The sequence below is a fragment of the Homo sapiens genome, chromosome 14, assembly GCF_000001405.40.
Source record: "Homo sapiens chromosome 14, GRCh38.p14 Primary Assembly".
NCBI lineage: Eukaryota > Metazoa > Chordata > Mammalia > Primates > Hominidae > Homo > Homo sapiens.
Genome location: NC_000014.9, coordinates 20,405,345 through 20,424,806, shown reverse-complemented (window position 1 = coordinate 20,424,806; position 19,462 = coordinate 20,405,345). Strand labels below are relative to the sequence as shown.

The 19,462-nt window shown below is 44.6% G+C and overlaps 1 protein-coding gene and 1 pseudogene across 7 annotated transcripts in view, besides 4 other annotated features; one reads left to right on the top strand and one right to left on the bottom strand.

The window, feature by feature from the left end:
- Window positions 9,709-9,820, bottom strand: RNA5SP382 (RNA, 5S ribosomal pseudogene 382; annotated as a pseudogene).
- Window positions 11,103-11,152: an enhancer, noted in NCBI's record as "active region_8073". NCBI's record gives its function as "activates an Ori minimal core promoter by ATAC-STARR-seq in GM12878 lymphoblastoid cells {active_cell/tissue: GM12878}" and the evidence as "EXISTENCE:reporter gene assay evidence [ECO:0000049][PMID:35858748]".
- Window positions 11,306-19,462, top strand: part of TEP1 (telomerase associated protein 1) — a 47,835-nt gene continuing 39,678 nt past the window's right edge. For 4 of the 7 annotated variants that reach the window (XR_007064043.1, XM_005268027.6, XM_047431734.1 and 1 more), the window contains exons 1-4: window positions 11,306-11,436; window positions 16,344-16,934; window positions 18,407-18,574; window positions 19,222-19,356. Coding sequence is in view for 6 of the 7 variants with exons in the window: in XM_005268027.6 (XP_005268084.1) it covers window positions 16,368-16,934; window positions 18,407-18,574; window positions 19,222-19,356 (870 nt within the window). In the remaining variant the exon portion in view is untranslated. Of the gene's footprint in view, window positions 11,437-16,343; window positions 17,496-18,406; window positions 18,575-19,221; window positions 19,357-19,462 lie in introns of all 7 variants that reach the window. The other 3 variants (NM_001319035.2, NM_007110.5, XM_047431733.1) reach the window with 2 other exon arrangements.
- Window positions 11,552-12,468: an enhancer, noted in NCBI's record as "H3K27ac hESC enhancer chr14:20880498-20881414 (GRCh37/hg19 assembly coordinates)". NCBI's record gives its function as "activates a minimal SCP1, AML or CMV promoter by ChIP-STARR-seq in naive H9 embryonic stem cells {active_cell/tissue: H9 hESC(naive)}" and the evidence as "EXISTENCE:reporter gene assay evidence [ECO:0000049][PMID:30033119]".
- Window positions 11,653-11,722: an enhancer, noted in NCBI's record as "active region_8072". NCBI's record gives its function as "activates an Ori minimal core promoter by ATAC-STARR-seq in GM12878 lymphoblastoid cells {active_cell/tissue: GM12878}" and the evidence as "EXISTENCE:reporter gene assay evidence [ECO:0000049][PMID:35858748]".
- Window positions 12,273-12,442: an enhancer, noted in NCBI's record as "active region_8071". NCBI's record gives its function as "activates an Ori minimal core promoter by ATAC-STARR-seq in GM12878 lymphoblastoid cells {active_cell/tissue: GM12878}" and the evidence as "EXISTENCE:reporter gene assay evidence [ECO:0000049][PMID:35858748]".

Sequence of the window (19,462 nt, the reverse complement as noted above, 5' to 3'; positions counted from 1 at the left end):
ACCTCCATTTAGATGTGCCAGCATCATTAGTTCAGATTCCTCATGCTTTATTGGCACTATCATTTCTCCTATTTCCTGGGCCTGAAGCTTTGGAATCCTCTTGAGCTTATTTTCCTTTATCTTTTCTTCTTTACTTGACTCATCATGTAATACTGGACTACCCAAAGAAAAACTGACTTAGTGTCTTCTCCCAATCTTTTCTGTGTTAAATATAATATATACGGAAAATTTTTAGCCAGGTGTGGTGACACATACCTGTAATCCCAGCTACATGGGAGGCTGAGGCACGAGAATTGTTTGAACCCGGGAGACGGAGGTTGCAGTGAGCTGAGATTGCACCACTGCACTCCAGCCTGGGTGACAGAGTGAGACTCTGTCTCAAATTAATAATAATAATATATGGAAAATTGATAGCAAGGAAGGTTTAAAAAAATAGAAGAGCAAATTTATATGAAAATTTCACTAGCTGTGAAACCAAGAATTATTACTTACCCAGACAGACACTCTGGGTTGTAGAAGCAACAATGTTCAATCAAAAGAATGAAAAAGTGCCAGGCACCGTGCTACATGCCCATAGTTCCAGCTCCTCAGAAGGCTGAGGTGGGAGGATTGCTTTAGCTCAGGAGTTCGAGTCCAGCCTGGATAACATAGTGAGACCCCATCTTGAAAAAAAAAGGAATAAAAGAAAAATTGCATAGAAAGATTATTTAATAGAATTATAGAATGGAGAGGTTTCAGAGATCATGTAATTCAAACCTTTTGTTACACAGCTTAGGAAATAAAGTTATGTGGTACACAGTCTGGATAATGAAGAGGAAGGCTTTTCATGAAACTAGTCTCTCACATACATTAGGACCAACAGGCAGGCTAAGACAAACATCACAGACGAGGTCTATAGACAGGACAGTCATAATTACTCTTTCAGGATCATAGACTATATCCTAAATCCTGTCTAGCCCTTGAGATCAAGGAGCCCTAAGTGAAAACGTGTGAATTCATCACAGCTCCTGGTAAAACACCTACCAAAAAAATTATAGATAGATAGATATTTATGTGTATATACATACATACATATATATCATTAGTGGTGAGATTATAGTCTGTTTTCTCTGAGAGAGAAATGATCATGGTATTATTACTGTAGCTGATTCAGAATTTAATAATCTATATTTCGTGTTTGATATGTTTTGGATCTGTGTCCCTGTGCATATCTCATGTCAAATTGTAATCCCCAGTGTCAGAGGTGGGGCCTGGTGGGAGGTGATGGGTCATGGGAGTGGTTTCCATGGTGGGTTTAGCCCCATTCCCTTGGTGGTGTTCTTCTGGTAGTGAGTTTTCGTGAGAACTTGTTGTTTACAAGTGTGTAGCACCTTCTGCCTCACTCTCTTTCTTGCTCCTGCTCCTGCCATGTAAGACGTTTCACGCCTCCTTTGCCTTCTTCCATAATTGAAAACTTCCTGAGGCCTCCCCAGAAGCAGATGCTGCCATGCTTCCTGTATAGCCTGCAGAACCATGAGACAATTAAACCTCTTTTCTTTATAAATTACCCAGTCTAGGGTATTTCTTTATAGTAATGTGAGAACAGACAAATACAGTATTAGAAGAATGACAAAAAAAACGTATAGCCTTGAAAGTGTACTGAGCTAGATTCAGTAACTTGGCTTCAAGTTTCAATTCAATTGTTGCTTTGGTAATTATGAGTAAGTCCTTTAACCAGTTTGAATTCCAAGTTCGTACCCCATAAAATAAGCACCATAATGGTATTGTAAACACCACAGTGTTATTATAGCTCATGAACCCCAGAGCTTGGGACAGTCCTAAGGACCTCTAGGCACATTTGGAAAAGTGTGCCTTGGTAATCTATAAATCAAGTTCCTAGGACATATCCTTTTAGATCAGAGAGCTAAATGATGCCAAACAAGGAGGCCAGTATACCGTAGTGACAGGCTCCTGAGACCACGAGTACCGTACAGAAGGTTATAAGCTACTCCAGCCTGATGTACTCCTGAGACAGGGAAGCAGATTCATCTGGATTCCAAATGAGGCCAAGGCATATAGTTAGAGAGCTATGTATCAGTTAGTTGGTGTTTTGTTTTGTTTTGTTTGAGACAGAGTCTTGCTCTGTCTCCCAGGCTGGAGAGCAGTGGCGCAGTCTCCGCTCACTGCAAACTCCACTTTCTGGGTTCAAGTGATTCTCCTACCTCAGCCTCCCGAGTAGCTGGGATTATAGGCACATGCCCGGCTAATTTTTGTATTTTTAGTAGAGACAGGGTTTCACCATGTTGGCCAGGCTGGTCTTGAACTCCTGACCTCAAGTGATCTGCCCGCCTCAGCCTCCCAAAGTGCTGGGATTACAAGAGTGAGCCACCGCGCCCGGCCTATATATCAGTTTGACTAATTGCCAGGTAGGCAATCTGAGCCCCAATACACACTTTTCAAGCAAGCTGTCACTGATGAAAGCCAACTCTTTCATTGCAGAGTAAGAACTGCTTGTTTTATTTTTTATTTTTTTGAGACAGAGTCTCACTCTGTCGCCCAGGCTGGAGTGCAGTGGTGCGATCTTGGGTCACTGCAACCTCCGCCTCCCAGATTCAAGTGATTCTCCTGCCTCAGCCTCCAGAGTAGCTGGGATTACAGCAGTCTGCCACTATGCCTGGCTAATTTTTGTATTTTTAGTAGAGATGGGATTTTACCATCTTGTCCAAGCTAGTCTTGAACTCCCGACCTCAGGTGATCCACCTGCCTCAGCCTCCCAAAGTGCTGGGATTACAGGTGTGAGCCACTGTGCCCAGCCTAGAACTGCTTGTTTTAGATTATAGTTATCATTGTTTGTGCTAGCTATATGCCAGGTGGTATGCTAAGTGCTTTATGTATATTATCTAATTTGAATGACAATACAGTCCATAAAAAGCGGGTGCTATTATTATTCCCACTTTATAGATGAGAAAACTGGAAGATTAGAGGAGTTTGTAAATGTTGAGCATGTATTTAAACTGGTAGAAGGACTTTATTATGCCCCCTCTCTAATGTAGCTCCATCTCCACTTGAGTGGCAAGCTTTATCCATGAAACTCATACATGGGCTCTACAAGTGGGAGCAATGAGCGAGTATAAGTGCCACTGGAGGTTTGGAGACATGGTCTTGAAAAATTAACATCCAATTGCTGTAATGCAAATAGCTGTGAATTTAAAAGACGCTCAGCCAGAGAAAGGGGCAGTGGGTTCTTCCTTCCAGCAGTTTTTTTCACTTATTAGGATGTATTGAGCTGGGGATTGTTATGAAAATGAGACAGGAGGTGAGACTTTTCAAACGGAGAACCTAGCCTGACCCCTTTGCCAAATCAGCATCATGTGATCTTACTGCAGACTCAAGGACCACTCTCTGGCCCCTTTGAGGGTTGAGATTATTAACCTTATTTTCTTCTACAGCTTAGGTCACACTGCTAGTCAGTAGCAGAGGAGGATTTAAACACAGATCCATTGGACCAGGTGTGGTGGCACATGTTTCAAGACCTTTGTCTCAAAAAATAAAAATAAAAAAATAAAAAATAAACCCAGATCTGTTGGACTCCAGAGTTCATGTTTAAACAACCATATTTAATATATAATATATTATCTGGCTGGGTGTGGTGGCTCACTCCTGTAATCCCAGCACTTTGGGAGGCAGAGGTAGGCGGATCACCTGAGGTCAGGAGTTCAAGGCCAGCCAGGACAACATGGTGAAACCTTGTCTCTACTAAAAAGACAAAAAATTAGCCAGCGGTGGTGGCAGGTGCCTGTAATCCCAGCTACTTGGGAGGCTGAGGCAGGAGAATTGCTTGAAACCAGGAGGCAGAGGTTGCAGTGAGCCGAGATTATGCCACTGCACTCCAGCCTGGGCAACAAAAGCAAAATTCCATCTCAAAAAAAAAAAAAAAAAAAAAAAAAAAAAAATATATATATATATATATATATATATATATATATATGTAATATACTATCTTCACCCATATCTTGGATTGCAGCCAAGTACTCCAGTTCTTCCCTGATTATCTGAATTCCCCTATTTTTTAAATTCTTCCTACAAGTCATTAAAATGTTCCAAGTTCACTATTTTTTTTTTTTTTTGGGACGGAATCTCTCTCTGTCACCAGGCTGGAGTGCAGTGGCACAATCTCAGCTCACTGCAACCTCCGCGTTCCCAGGTTCAAGCAATTCTCCTGTCTCAGCCTCTCGAGTAGCTGGGACTACAGGCGCATGCCACCATGCCCAGCTAGTTTTTGTATTTTTAGTAGAGATGGTGTTTCACCATGTTGGCCAGGATGGTCTTGATCTCTTGACCTTGGGATCCGCCCACCTCGGCCTCCCAAAGTGTTGGGATTACAGGCATGAGCCACCATGCCCGGCCTTTTTTTTCTTTTTCATTTTTTTTTTGACACGGAGTTTCACTCTTGTTGCCTAGGCTGGAGTGCAGTGGCGTGATCTTGGCTCACTGCAACCTCCACCTCCCAGGTTCAAGCAATTCTCCAGTCTCAGCCTCCCAAGTAGCTGGGATTACAGGTGCACGCCCCCACACCCGGCTAATTTTGTATTTTTAGTACAGACGAGGTTTTACCATGTTGGCCAGGCTGGTCTTGAACTCCTGACCTCAGGTGATCTGCCTGCCTCTGCCTTCCAAAGTGCTGGCATTACAGGTGTGAGCCACTGTGCCCGGCACCAAGTTCACTATTTTGAGATCCAAAGTTTACTTCCAATTACCTCTGCCTCATCCCATCCAAAAGCAGGACTCAAATCCTTTTCGGGATCAGGTGTACTGTTTTTGTCTCAAAAAAAAAAAAAAAAAAAAAGTAGGATGATTACAGAGTACCCTGATGTAAACTGTCTTATGTTTTGCAGGCCTAGTGTACCAGTTATCATTTGCTGCCCAAAACTTTGTGACTTAAAACAACAACCATTTAATCATATCTCACAATTTTATGTGTAACTGACTTCACTAAATTTAGGCAGGCTTCCACTAGATGATTCTTCTGTTTCATGTGTCATTAGTGGAAGTTACTTGATAATAGACAATTGGTAGATGAACTGGTCTGAGGGACTTAAGACTGCTTCTTTCTCCACTAGGGCACCAGACAGGGCACATGTCTGGTGCCCTGGTGGAGATGGCTAGAAGGCTGAGCTCAGTTGAGTGTGTTAATTGAAACACCTACATGTGGCCTCTTTAGAGTGGCAGTCTTACGGTAGTTGGACTCACATGGCAGCTCAGGGCTTCCCAAGGGAGTGTTCCAGAGTCCTGGAGGAAGTGCAAGTTTCCTTTGACCTAGCTTCAGAAGTCCCAGAATGCAACTGCTGCCACATTATATTGGTCAAGCAAGTGACCAGGTCAGCCCAGTTTCAAGAAGGAATTAGACTCTGCCTCTCAATGGGAGAGGAAGCAAAGAATTTGTGGCCTATTTTAATTACCATACCCGATTAGGGAGACTAGTCAGTGAGGAATGTCCTTGAAGAAAGATGAAGAAAGAGGTCGGGCATGGTGGCTCATGTCTGTAATCCCAGCAGTTTGGGAAGTTGAGGTGGGCGGATCACCTGAGGTCAGGAGTTTGAGACCAGCCTGGCCAAGATGGTGAAACCTTGTCTCTACTAAAAATACAAACAATGAGCTGGGCATGGCGGTGGGTGCCTGTAATCCCAGCTACTTGGGAGGCTGAGGCAGGAGAATTGCTTGAACCCAGGAGGCAGAGGTTGTAGTGAACCGACATCGTGCCACTGCACTCCAGCCTGGGCGACACAGCAAGACTCTGCCTCAAAAAGAAAAAAAAAAGAAAGATGAAGAAAGATATTGGCAAATGTCCACAGACCAGAGGCCAAATGCAGGGTTGTTTTGATTCAGAAGAGTCAGAAGGGAGAAGACACTGAGGTTCTTGTAATCTGCTTTCAGATGGCCCAGAAGGGCTTGTCTGAGGTGACAAGTGGCTATCCAGTAAGTGTGTGCTTGTCCACATATCACGGCTTGTGTGATGCTTTAAGTTGTGATGGTTAGGTCAAACAAACGTATACTGTGAATCTAAAGGTAATCATTCACAAAGAAGAAAAAAATCAGGTAAAACCAATGGCCTTTCCACTTCCTACTGGTCACTCCCCTCCCAGCTTATCAGAGGCCTGCCCTTCCCAGTTCAAAGTCCATCTCTCCAGGGAGTTGCTTGAGATCCTTGCTCTCACCTATATAACCCTATAGTTTGTCTCTTAGTCCATTATAGCACTTCTCTTTATCTGCCTTGTATTTTTGTGATTTCTACATGTGTCTATCTCTACAAGATGATGAAGTCTTGAGAAGAAGGCATGTTGTATACATTTTACCCATGTACTAGCACTATTCTTTGACAGGGGATTAGCAGATGTTTGTTGATCAAAGTAGAGGAGGACAATGAACATGCAAGAAAACTGACCACAAGTGAGCAATTTTAACAGGTGGTAGGACCCTTCCCAAAAGGGAAGACTGAGGGGGTGGCACTCCTTTGTCCCAGAGACAAATCTGGATATTACACCCATCAGTTGGCCATCGCAGCTCAATGCTACTAATCAACAGTAAGGTGGTGTTGGCCTATATGCAGGAGAAAGTGAATGGTCCTTTAAGAACTTGCAAATAAGGAATGTAAGATGGTTCTGTGAGAGTTAAGTGATTTCATTCCAGTGGGAAATGGCACATCTTCCCAGCCCTGGTATAGTTATTTGATTGGCAAAACTCCTGATTTATTCTAATGATAGTCATCTGAAGAAAGATTGGTTCAACTCAAGGGAATGGCTAACTTAGGAAAGCATGACTCAAAGAAGCAAATATTGGCAATATGATTAGCACTTCCTACGGGTATGAAAAGCTGAATTTGAACATTGTGAACATCTTGCCAGTTGAAAGGTTTTCTCTGTTGCAAGGCAGAGATAGTTTATCTGGCTCCTCAAAACACAGCTGAAATGTCCTTTAGGGATCATTCAGTGGCTGTGTGATTGGAACAGAACATCTGGGAATTGGGCCAAATTTTTAATTTATATATGCAATTCAAGTGTGACAGGTGCATTATTTACTACCTACCTCTGCCATGTGGTAGGTAGTAACTATCGCTTCTGTTTAGGTAATCATCCTAGATTAATAGTTTTTTAAATGTTTACCTCAGATCAGAGATAAGAGTCATGATTACCTGAGAAATTGCTGGAAGTGCAAATTCTCAGGTTCCATCTCAGACCTACCTACTGAATCAGAAATTTTCAAAAGAGATGAGCAACAATCTTCGTTTTAATCAGAGCTTTTTTTTTTTTTTGAGACAGGGTCTTGCTTTGTCACCCAGGTTGCCAGGGCACGAACACAGCTCACTGCCGCCTCGACTTCCTGGACTTAAGCAATCCTCCTGCCTCAGCTCCAGAAGTAGCAAGGACTACAGGTGTGGGCCACCATGCCTAGCTAATTTTTTTTTTTTTTTTTGGCATCTTTTATAGAGACAGGGTTTCACCATGTTGCCCAGGCTGGTCTCAAACTCCTGAGCTCAAGTGATCTGCCCGCTTAGCCTCCCAAAGTGCTGGGATTATAGGCATGAGCCACCACACCCTGCCTAATCAGGGGTTCTTAAATTTAAGCATGTACCAAAACCAACCGGACAGCTTGTTAAAATACAAATCACTGGGCCCTGACCACAGTGTTTGGAAATATAGATTCTCAGGTTCCACCCCACTTGTCTGGATCAGTGTTTCTCAAACTTTAATGTGAGTGGGAATAACCTGAAAATATTGTTAAAAGATTCTGATTCAGTAGATCTGGGGTAGAGCCTGAGAGTCTGCATTTCTAACAAGGTGATGTTGATGTTGTGGTCCACAATCCCATACTTTGATTAGTGAGACCCTCGAGCAGAGGTTCCTAAACTTTTCTGCACATTAGTATCACCTGATGTCTCCATCCACTGGTGCTGCTATACCAAAATACCTGAGACTGGGTAATTTTATAGATAATAGAAATTTATTTCTCATAATTCTGGAGGCTGGGGAAGTCCAAGATCAAGGCACTAGCATTTGGTGTCTGGTGAGAACATACCTTCTTGCTGCATCTTCTCATGGCAGAAGGTGGAAGGGCAAACAAAGGAGTGATTGCTGGTTTCTTCTAGCCCTTTTATAAGGCTGCAAACTCCATTCATAAGGGCTCTGCTCTCACGACTTAATCCCTCCTAAAGACCCCAACCCTTAATATTATCACATCGCAGATTGAGTTTCAACATGAATTTTGGGGGACATATTCAGACCATAGCACCTAGGAAACTTCAAAAACTACTGATGCCTGGGTCCTACTCTGGGTGATTGCGATTTAATTGGTCTGGGGTGTGGCCTGGACTTTGGAATTTTTAAAAGATCTCCAGGTAGTTCCAGTGTACAAGCCTTGCTGGCCTTGAATCTCTTTGCTGCTTCAGGAAACCAGAAAGTAAAACTAGATCCTCAAAGCCAATCAGGAAGCCATCACCAATTGCCTTCCCTCCTGTATTGCCAGTCTTCTCAGGTCTGATATTTATGGGAATATGATGGAAGGGCTTGCATATGCTGTTCTTTCACTGGTGGGGCAGGTGTTTCCCACAGAGAGTCACAGACTACGAGGTCTTGAGGTTGGGATTATTATCTAAGGCATATTCTATGGGGAAGAGGCCTTATAAAGCTGGCCTTCAGAAGAAAGGCCCTGTGTGGACTCCTTCAATCCCTCCCCTCACTTCCTTCTCCTCAATATGCTCCCACTGTAGTCACCTCACGTAACCCTTTCTTTCAGGTTTCCTAGCTCTTGTGTTCCCTCACCAAACTCCTCTCTTTCTCCTCTAAACAGACCACTAATGAAGGTTTTCGATGTGAGTGGTACTGCCCTCTAGGGGGTGTTTTTGGCTTTCACAATAATTAGGATGATTTTACACATTTAAATGGGTAGGGCCCAGGATAGCTCAACATTCAGGAACTGTTTAGGACACTACCACACAATGAGTGACATTTCCGCATCTTTAACTTTGAATAACTTGCCAGTCATTCATGTAGCTGAAAACTTGTTTTAATTAGGATCTAACTTAATTTTTTTATTTTTTTTTTGAGTCGGAGTTTTGCTCTTGTCACCCAGGCTGGAGTGCAGTGGTGTGGTCTCGGCTCCCTGCAACCTCCACCTCCTGGGTTCAAGCCATTCTCCTGCCTCAGTCTCCCAAGTAGCTGGGATTACAGGCGGCCACCACCATGCCCGGCTAATTTTTGTATTTTTGGTGGAGACAAGGTTTCACCATGTTGGCCAGGCTGGTCTCAAACTCCTGACCTCAGGTAATCTGCCCACCTTGGCCTCCCAAAGTGCTGGGATTACAGGCGTGAGCCACCGTGCCTGACCATAATTTAATTTTAAATATAAACACAAGGCATTTTATGCGTAGTTTTAATACACACTGAACTTTCCAGGGATGCAACTACCATGAAAATCATGGGATGATCATACCTTGTTTTGTTTGAAAATCTGCCAAAAGCTATTTAGTATTCTGGAAAATCATACCACATCAGTAATTCTGTTCATGGTATTTGAATCGCCATTATAATGCCTGTATCATTCTGCATTTGTAGCTGTTACATTCCAGGTGATTTTATATACAGATGCATATATCTGAGTACCACATTGTGTCTTCTTGAATGTTATACACAAACATTTACATATCTAAACATATAGTATTTAATTATAAGTCATATTCTTTCTAGTATTCCTTTTATCTCCCATCCAAGTACTAACCAAGCCCAACCCTGCTCAGCTTCCAAGATCAGAGGAGATCGGGCGCGTTCGGGGTGGTATGGCCGTAGACTCCTTTATATCTCTTTAAGAGATTTTACTAATTTTTTGGCCAGGCATGGTGGCTTATGCCTGTAATCCAAGCACTTTGGGAGGCCAAGGTAGGAGGACTATTTGAGCCCTGGAGGTAGAGAGCCTGGGCAACATAGCAAAACCCTGTCTCTACTTTTTGTCTTTAAATTTTGGTTTAAAATTGTGCGTGGGGGTAAGTTACATTCTTTACGAATTATGTTTCAGAAAAATAAAAAGAGCTTTAAAATATTTGTTATAAAAAGGAAATGTTTTAGTTCAGGTTGCTATAACAAATTACCGTAGACCGGGTGGCTTAAACAACAAATATTATTTCTCACAGTTCTAGAGAATGGAAGTCCAAGATCAGATTGCCAGCATGGTCTGCCTCTGAAGATGAGGGTCTTCCTTGGGATTGCAGATGGCTGTTTTCTTGTATCCTCATATCGTGGAAAAAGAGCTAGCTAGCTCTTCCGTCTCTCCTTATGAGGCCACCAATCCCATTTATGAGTATTCTAAACTCCATGACCTAATGACCTCCCAGAGATCCCACCCTAAATACCATCGCATTGGGATTAGGGTTTCAATATATAAATTTTGGGGAGACACAAACATAAAGACCATTGCAGGGAGTGTTGGGACTGGTGGCAATAGAGGTTTCTAAGGAAGGAAAGGGGTACTGGCTCAGTTAATAGAGGACAGAATGCCCTCAATTCTGAGCGGAAGCTCAGCTGTTACCTGAGACTCAAGGGTACCTCTCTAAGGAAAGCAATGATATTTTCCAGAAGACAGCTAATCTGCTTTATATAAAGGCAGAAAGCATATTTCTCCTGCTACTATGTTTGGTCCTCTCTTTATGAAGCTAGGATTATTAACCTAAGGGTCACTTGTCTCTTTCCTAAGCCTGGTTCCATCTTCCTGGAAAGGGTTCAGCATTAATCATTCAGGATGGCTCCAGATAGATTCTGTGTGATCCACGGATCTCTCTTCTGATCAACAGGAGGGGAGGCACTTGCTCTCAGTTCAGCGAACTTTGATTGACTGATGTCTACACTTGGTTACAGGCGGTTGCTTTCCGCTTTCCGTCTCCTTTTAAGGAGTTCCTCAAAGGAACTTTAGGATGAATTGAGTCTGACCGTCTTTGATATTAGGAAGGAGAGGTGTACAGCTAGGCAGCGAGCATGCTAAAATCTTTTCCAGGAAACGGTGTTTGAAGAGTTAATGGGAGAAAAAAAGACGAAAATTAGCCAGAGGAGACGAATTTGGTAGAGGGGGAAGCCCTAGGGACAGGAGAAAATAGGACCAGAAAGGGAAAAAAAATAGAAACAATAACAAACTAAACTCGGGCCCCAGAAAAGGCGGCAGGGGTCCTGGGCATTCGCGTCGCAGCCCTGGCATGTCGTCTTGCCCGGCCCTCGGCTCGCTGCCCTTCCAGCAGCTGCTGCGCCCCGCCCGGGCCCGAGAGTCTCCGCCCGCACCGTCTCTTCTCAGATCCGCATCCGGCTCCTCCCCCGGCTGCCACCCTTCCCACCGGCAGAATCCAGAGCGAAGTTTCTGCTTCCTGCTGCGGGAATCGGACGCCCCAGGTCAGGCACCCAGGGTTTCCAGCCCCAGTCTAAGGTAGGGTCCGAGCGCAGGCAGAACTTGCCCTGGCCCTGGGTCTAGGGCGCTGGGCTCTGAGGCTGAGAGCTGGGTGGGAAGTGCCTGGCGGGGCCGGTTAGGAACCACCCGAGACTCAGCTAGGGGTGCATCCACCCTGCTCCTCCCGGCGGCTCCGGGAAGGGGAGGGAGTGTATACTGCGTGAAAGGGGAGGTGAGAAAGGAGGAGGAGAAGGCTGAAGGAGAGGGAGGGACAGGAAGAGAGACCACGTAAGAATCATCCCCTCTTACTTCCTTGCCCTGTGTGCCCATCGAAAGGGGACAGTGGCTGTCACCAACAAATGGTAGTATGAGAACCGTTTGTGATAATAGAAACCCAGACTGTGCTTAAATGTGCTAGACTACCATACAGCCACTTGAAGAGTGAGGTGGAGGCCGGGCGCGGTGGTTCACGCCTGTAATCCCAGCACTTTGGGAGGCGGAGGTTGGGGATCACCTGAGGTCAGGAGTTTGAGACCAGCCTGACCAACATGGTGAAAACCCTCTCTACTGAAAATACAAAAAAATTAGCCGGGCATGGTGGTGGGCGCCTGTAATCCCAGTTACTCGGAAGGCTAAGGCAGGAGAATCGCTTGAACTCGGCAGGCAGAGATTGCAGTGAGCTGAACAACAGAGCCAGACTCCGCCTCAAAAAAAAAAAAAAAAAAAAAAGGAAAGAGTGAGGTGGGTATTAATGTGTTAACAGGGCAAGGTCTCTGAGATATACTAAGTGCAGAATAGCATCTAACTTATGATCCTGTTTGTGTAAAGCAAAAGCAAAAGCAGTGGTGATGGTGAAGGCATGTATTTGCATATGCATAGAAACTGTGAAACTGTTAGTATAAAACTGTGAGCAATGTTTACTTCCAGAGAAGGGAACTAGAGATGGAAGTGGGGACGGAACTTTAACTTTCCATTTGTGGTTCAGCCGAATCTCCTTTCAAAAACTCCAGGGTGCAAAACAATAAAATGAGCAAAATAGTGAGACTGTCCTTTTAAGGATAGGACAGTCTCACTATGTTGCTCAAATAAACTGTCCTTATTTTTCTGTTTATTTTTGGCTTGAGATCTCTTTTAAAAAAAATCTGAGTCAATTCTGAGTTTCCCCACTCCTTTCCTTGGGGGCTTATATAGGGCAACGACATGAGCAAAGTGTATTGGGCACAGAAGCCATCATTTTTTACGTGTTTGTCACACTGACGTCCAGTGAGATATTGTTGTCCTTTTTGGCCCTGGATTGTTAGTCATTCAGGTCTTCTTGGAAGTGTTCTGTACTTTTGTCCCTAAGCTTTTTCACACTAAGTTTAGGTGGTTGACTTAACAATATTATTCCCAAAATATTTACATATGAATGAGAGATTAGCCTTTGTCCAAATAAGTAAGAAAATACATTCCTTTTTTTTTTTAAATAGAGGTCTCACTATGTTGCCCAGGCTGGTCTTGAACTCCTGACCTCAAGTGATTCTCCCACCTCAGCCTCCCAAAATGCTAGGATTACAGGTGTGAGCCACCACACCCAGCCAGAAAATAGGTTCCTGATGGTATAATTCAAGCATTCTGTTAGGCAGAGGTTTCTAATTTTCAGTTTATGGAGATCCTGGGAGGTCCATAAATGGGCTTCATAGACACTCTGAAAATTGAGCACAAAACAGTATATACTTTTTTTTTTTCTGTGAAAAAGCTCCATAGCTTTTACCAGATTCTCAAAAGCCTCTGAATCCCGCTGACCAGCAATTGTGGGAACAAGGCTAAAAGGGTCTCTCTCCTCAGGAACTTAATGGTCTATTGGGAAGAAAGACAAACAGGTGATGTGCTCTATGATAGGGGACATATGGGTGTTGTGAAAACAAGGAGAAGGCCACCTAAATCAGACTGGGGCTTGGTGTCAGCACAGGCTTTTTGGAGGAGTTGATGAAACTGAAGTCTGTAGAGTGAGAGGAAAGTAGCATTTGGCCTTGTAAAGGAGGGGTGGTATTGGTAGAAGAAAGAGTGTTCCAGGGATCTGCCTGTGCACAGGCCCGTAGTCAAGAGATACCTTGGCAATTAATAAGCTAAATAAAATTTGTATGATTGAAGCTTAGAGTGCTGAGGGTTAGATCGGGGTGTTAGTGAGAGATGATGCTGGGAGGTGACCGGAAGTCGGGTTTTGTGTATGATGCTGAAGATGCAGAGGGGAGCAAGACAAAGGAGCCCTTACCTTAAGGAGTTGTATTTCAGTAAAGAGAAACAATTAGGCTGGGTGCGGTGGCTCACGCCTGTAATCCTAGCACTTTGGGAGGCTGAGGTGGGTGGATCATGAGGTCGGGAGATTGAGACCATCCTGATGAACATGGTGAAACCCTGTCTCTACTACAAATACAAAAATTAGCTGGGTGTGGTGGCAGGCACTTGTAATCCCAGCTACTTGGGGGGCTGAGGCAGGAGAATTACTTGAACCCGGGAAGTCGAGGTTGCAGTGAGCTGAGACTGTGCGACTGCACTCCAGCCAGCAATAGAGTGAGACTCCGTTTCAAAAAACAAAAAGCAAAAAAAAAAAAAAAAAAAAAAAAACCACAAAGGAGAAACAATTAGCAAGTGGGCTAATAAGCAAACATGCTTAAAAAAAAAGGAGTCCGCCAGGCACAGTGGCTCACACCTGTAATCCCAGCACTTTGGGAGGCCAAGGTGGGTGGATCACAAGGTCAGGAGTTCGAGACCAGCCTGGCCAGCATAGTGGAACCCTGTCTCTTACTAAAAATACAAAAAAAAAAAAAGAAAAAAAAATCAGCTGGGCATAGTGGCGGGCGCCTGTAATTCCAGCTACTCGGGAGGCTGAGGCAGGAGAATGGATTGAACCTGGGAGGCGGAGGTTGCAGTGAGCCAAGATCGTGCCATTGCACTCCAGCCTGGGTGACAGAGCAAGACTCTGTCTCAAAAAAAAAGGAGTCTCACTATGTAGCTCAGGCTGGTTTTAAACTCCTGGGCTCAAGTGATCCTCCTGCCTCAGCCTCTGAGAGTCACTGGGATTGCAGGCTACCACATCTGGCTCTAGCAGGGAGGTCCTTTAGACAAATCTATATACAGTATGTCACCACATGGATTAGAGGGTTTCAACAAAGGTGGTGGTAGGAGGAATGGAGAGAATTGGATAGATCTGAGAGACACTGAGGGAGTAGAATCAATAGAATTTAGTAGTTTACTGGATAATAATAACAAATAATAATAGCTTCTATATTGAACACTTAGTGCCAGGCAATGCTCAAAGTGCCTAATATTTTTTTCTCATTTATTTCTATAACAACTCTGTGAGGTAGGCATTTTTTTTTTTTTTTTTTTTTTTTTTTTTTTTTTTTGAGACAGAGTCTTGCTCTGTCGCCCAGGCTGGAGTGCAGTGGCCAATCTGGGCTCACTGCAAGCTCCGCCTCCCTGGTTCACGCCATTCTCCTGCCTCAGCCTCCCGAGTAGCTGGGACTACAGGTGCCCGCCACCCTGCCTGGCTAATTTTTTGTATTTTTTTAGTAGAGATGGGGTTTCACTGTGTTAGCCAGGATGGTCTCGATCTCCTGACCTTGTGATCCGCCCGCCTCGGCCTCCCAAAGTGCTGGGATTACAGGCGTGAGCCACCGCGCCCGGCCAGCATTTTTCTTAATTTTATAAATGAGAAAACCCTAGAGACACAGAGAATTTAAGTATCTTATCCAACCAAGATCCCAAGGTAAAGGAGGATTCAAAGTAAAGTCTGTCTCACTTCCAACTCCAGTGGGCAAAGGGGGCAAAGGAAGGGGAATGGATTTGGGGCAGAGATATGAGAAGGAGAAAGATGATACATTTAGGATCTGTGGAATTTGGAGCACCTTTGAGTCATCCAGTGGGGATGTCCAACGGGGAAATGGATAAGTGAATATGAAGCTCAGAAGGGAGATCTAGGTCCAGGAATAGATCTGTGAGTCGCCAGCATAGAAATGTCATTTGGAGCCACATAGTGGGTGAGACCACTCCAGGAAAGTATGTAAAAGGATTAGAATAGAACTGCAAGGAGCATTGATGTTAAGAAATGGCAGAGAAAGAATCCCTCAGAAGATCTAGTCAGAATAGTTTTAAGAAGAAAATCAGGACAGTAGCATCATGGAAAGCAAAGGAAGAGAGAGTTTTAATGAGAGAGTAATCAACAATGTCATATTCTACTTGAGGGGTGAAATAAGATAAAGGCCAAGATATATTTATTTATGGGAGTAAGAAAAAGTTCCTTGGTTACCTAAGAGGACTTGTGGACTGGTGGGGACAGAATCCCATTTAGTTGGTTAAAGAGTGAATAGGAGGCAAGGAAGCTGGGGTGGTGAATATTGACAACTTGATTAAAGTACCTGTTTCTCTGGAGCTATGAACCCACAGTCCAGATTATATTGCGAGGCCTCTCTACTAAGTAGGGATCAAACTGATAGTCCTGCAGCGGGGGTCAGGGGGGTTGGGTCTCCTTTACCTTCTTATGAGAAGGCATGTCCCTTCCTCTCCAGCCATTCCTTTTTGTTGTTTTTTTTTTTAAGAAATATTTTTTATTTTTTAAAACTTTGTAGAGATGAGGTTTCACCGTGTTGCCCAGGCTTGCCTCAAACTCTTGGGCTCAAGGAATCCTCTTGCCTCAGCTCCCAAAGTGTTGGGATTACAGGCATGAGCCACTGCACCTGGCCTTTTCTTAATTTCTCTGCTCTTAAGCCTCTGCCTTACCTTTTCCCTATCCCTCTCTCTTAGAATATTCTCTGGATGAACCCAGTCCTGGGAAAAACAACATTGGTTGTTTTCTACCCACAAATCATTGGCATTATCAGGAGGGCTGTGGGGAAGATATGCTCTCATGCAAATACACGCTCAGTGCAGCCAGGTGCTCATCTCCTGTCTTTCTCTCCTTCTAGGCATATACAAGCTGAGTTTCAGCCATGGAAAAACTCCATGGGCATGTGTCTGCCCATCCAGACATCCTCTCCTTGGAGAACCGGTGCCTGGCTATGCTCCCTGACTTACAGCCCTTGGAGAAACTACATCAGCATGTATCTACCCACTCAGATATCCTCTCCTTGAAGAACCAGTGCCTAGCCACGCTTCCTGACCTGAAGACCATGGAAAAACCACATGGATATGTGTCTGCCCACCCAGACATCCTCTCCTTGGAGAACCAGTGCCTGGCCACACTTTCTGACCTGAAGACCATGGAGAAACCACATGGACATGTTTCTGCCCACCCAGACATCCTCTCCTTGGAGAACCGGTGCCTGGCCACCCTCTCTAGTCTAAAGAGCACTGTGTCTGCCAGCCCCTTGTTCCAGAGTCTACAGATATCTCACATGACGCAAGCTGATTTGTACCGTGTGAACAACAGCAATTGCCTGCTCTCTGAGCCTCCAAGTTGGAGGGCTCAGCATTTCTCTAAGGGACTAGACCTTTCAACCTGCCCTATAGCCCTGAAATCCATCTCTGCCACAGAGACAGCTCAGGAAGCAACTTTGGTAATAGCTCCAGGCACTCATCTTGACTCCAGCCATGTCTGTTGTATGCTCTTGTCTCTAGCTTTCAGTGTCTCAGTTTCCCTCTGTGCTGCTCTGTGTCTGGCTATCTTCTCTCCTCAGAGCCTCTCCTAAGGTGCCTTTTGTTGCAGGACCATCTTCACTGGCATCATTACTTTTATTGCATATCTACATTGGAGATATTGTGCAATAGATCAAAAACAATTCCTGTCCTGGCTGGGTGCGGTGGCTCATGCCTGTAATCCCAGCACTTTGGGAGGCCAAGGCGGGCGGATCACTTGAGTCCAGGAGTTCGAGACCAGCCTGGGCAACATGGTGAAACCCCGTCTCTACCAAAAATACAAAAATTAGCCAGGTGTGGTGGCACGCATCTGTAATCCCAGCTATTTGGGAGGCTGAGGCACGAGAATTGCTTAAACCGGGAGGCGAGATTGTGTCACTGCACTCCAATCTGGGCAACAGAGAGAGACTGTGTCTCAAAAAAATGAAAGCCCAAAAGACACAACAAAAAACAGTCCCTGTCCTTAGGAAGCCTCTGTTCAGGTGAGCCAGCTTAATGTTACTATAGCAGAGTCAGTTAGGTGCTTTTGAGATCAGGCATGAGATACATCTGCTAATTAATTTTCCAACAGCCCTATCAGGGCCTGTACCAGAGACCACTTAATTGTCTGTGCATGTGCAAATACACGTCCACTTTTACACATCTACATGCCTACATTTAGTATACAGTTCAGAATCACTAGAAAGACACACATTGCTTCTGTATATACTTGTGTTTCGGGTTGAGGGACAAGGCTAATCTGAACCCTCTTCTGTCTCTGCCAATTACAAACTATGCAACCTTGGGCAACCTCTTAACCCTTTAGAGCTTTAATTTCCTCGCCTTTAAAATGAATTTAATGAAAATCTACTTCACAGGGTTGTTATCAGGATTACAACTGCTGCCATCTTACATTGATTTAGGGCTTTGCATTTTGCAAAGAGTCATACATACATATAACACTCCATTTAATTTCCCAGTGGCCCTATCAGATAGGTGGTAGTGAATGAGAGAAAGCTGAGGTTCAGAGAGGTTAAGCAGCCCAAGGCTGCTGGGGGATTAATATGGGGCTTTGCCCTTTTTCTTCTGACCCCCAAAACATCTTACTAATATCCTAAAAGGTGTGTGAAGAGCCCCATGCTCCCAGGTTGTGACGCCAATGAAGAGATGAAAGCAGGGGCAGATCATGAAGCATGTGGGCGAAGGCTCTGAAGGTTGAGTAGAGCAAGGTGGTGTGTGAGAGCAGTAAGTCAGACAGGACACATCAGTGCTGGTGTGTGAAGGGAGAGAACATTAGAGGTGCTATTAATGGAGATGTAGACTTTTCCCGTGGCCTGGTGCTGCCTTCAGATCCATCTGGCTTTGAGGGGCTGTGGATACCTGCTGTGATTCATAACTGCCACTACTACCCCAGGGTCGTTGGTTTGATTCAGAAGAGAAGAAAGGGGCAGAGACCCAAATGCCTTCTTATAGTCTGAGCTTGGGAGAGGAGGAGGAGGTGGAGGATCTGGCCGTGAAGCTCACCTCTGGAGACTCTGAATCTCATCCAGAGCCTACTGACCATGTCCTTCAGGAAAAGAAGGTAAAAATTCAAGAGTTAGGGGAAGGTTAATAATGGTGTGGAGGGGAGGTTGGTGGTGGAGTACTTGAACCAGGTCCCCTCCCCAGTTGGAAGGGGAAGGTAGGGATACAACCTAGCTCTTATTTCTCACTTCCTAATCCCCTTTTCTTTTTTCTTTTATTTTCCTTTTCTTTTTTTCTTTCCTTTCTTTCTCTCTTTTCCTTTTCTTTTTTTTTTTTTTTGAGATGGAGTCTCACTCTGTCACCTAGGTTGGAGTGCAATGGCATAATCTCAGCTCATTGCAACCTCTGCCTCCTGAATTCATTATTCTCCTGCCTCAGCCTCCTGAGTAGCTGGAATTACAGGCGTGCACTGCCATGCCTGGCTAATTTTTGTATCTTCAGTAGGGATGGGATTTCGCCATGTTGGCCAGGCTGCTCTCGAACTCCTGACCTCAGGTGGTCTGCCCACCTCAGTCTCCCAGAGTGCTGGGATTACAGATGTGAGCCACCATGCCTGGCCCTAATCCCCTTTTGTAAGTTCTCAACTGGACTCCACATCTCGGGTCCATTCTCTCTGTCCTTGACTTTGTAAGTTAGTCTGCATGGATGCTTAAGTTGGTCCTTGTTACCTCTCTTCTCATTTCTTCCCTCTTTCTCAATTCCCAGATGGCTCTACTGAGCTTGCTGTGCTCTACTCTGGTCTCAGAAGTAAACATGAACAATACATCTGACCCCACCCTGGCTGCCATTTTTGAAATCTGTCGTGAACTTGCCCTCCTGGAGCCTGAGTTTATCCTCAAGGTATTGAGGTGTGAAGGAGGGGATGGGGGTGTGAAGCTGGTAGACTGGGAGTGTGGTTATGGTGTGTGGCGGGGTGGTGACTAGCTTCATGTTGGGGGTGGGAGGA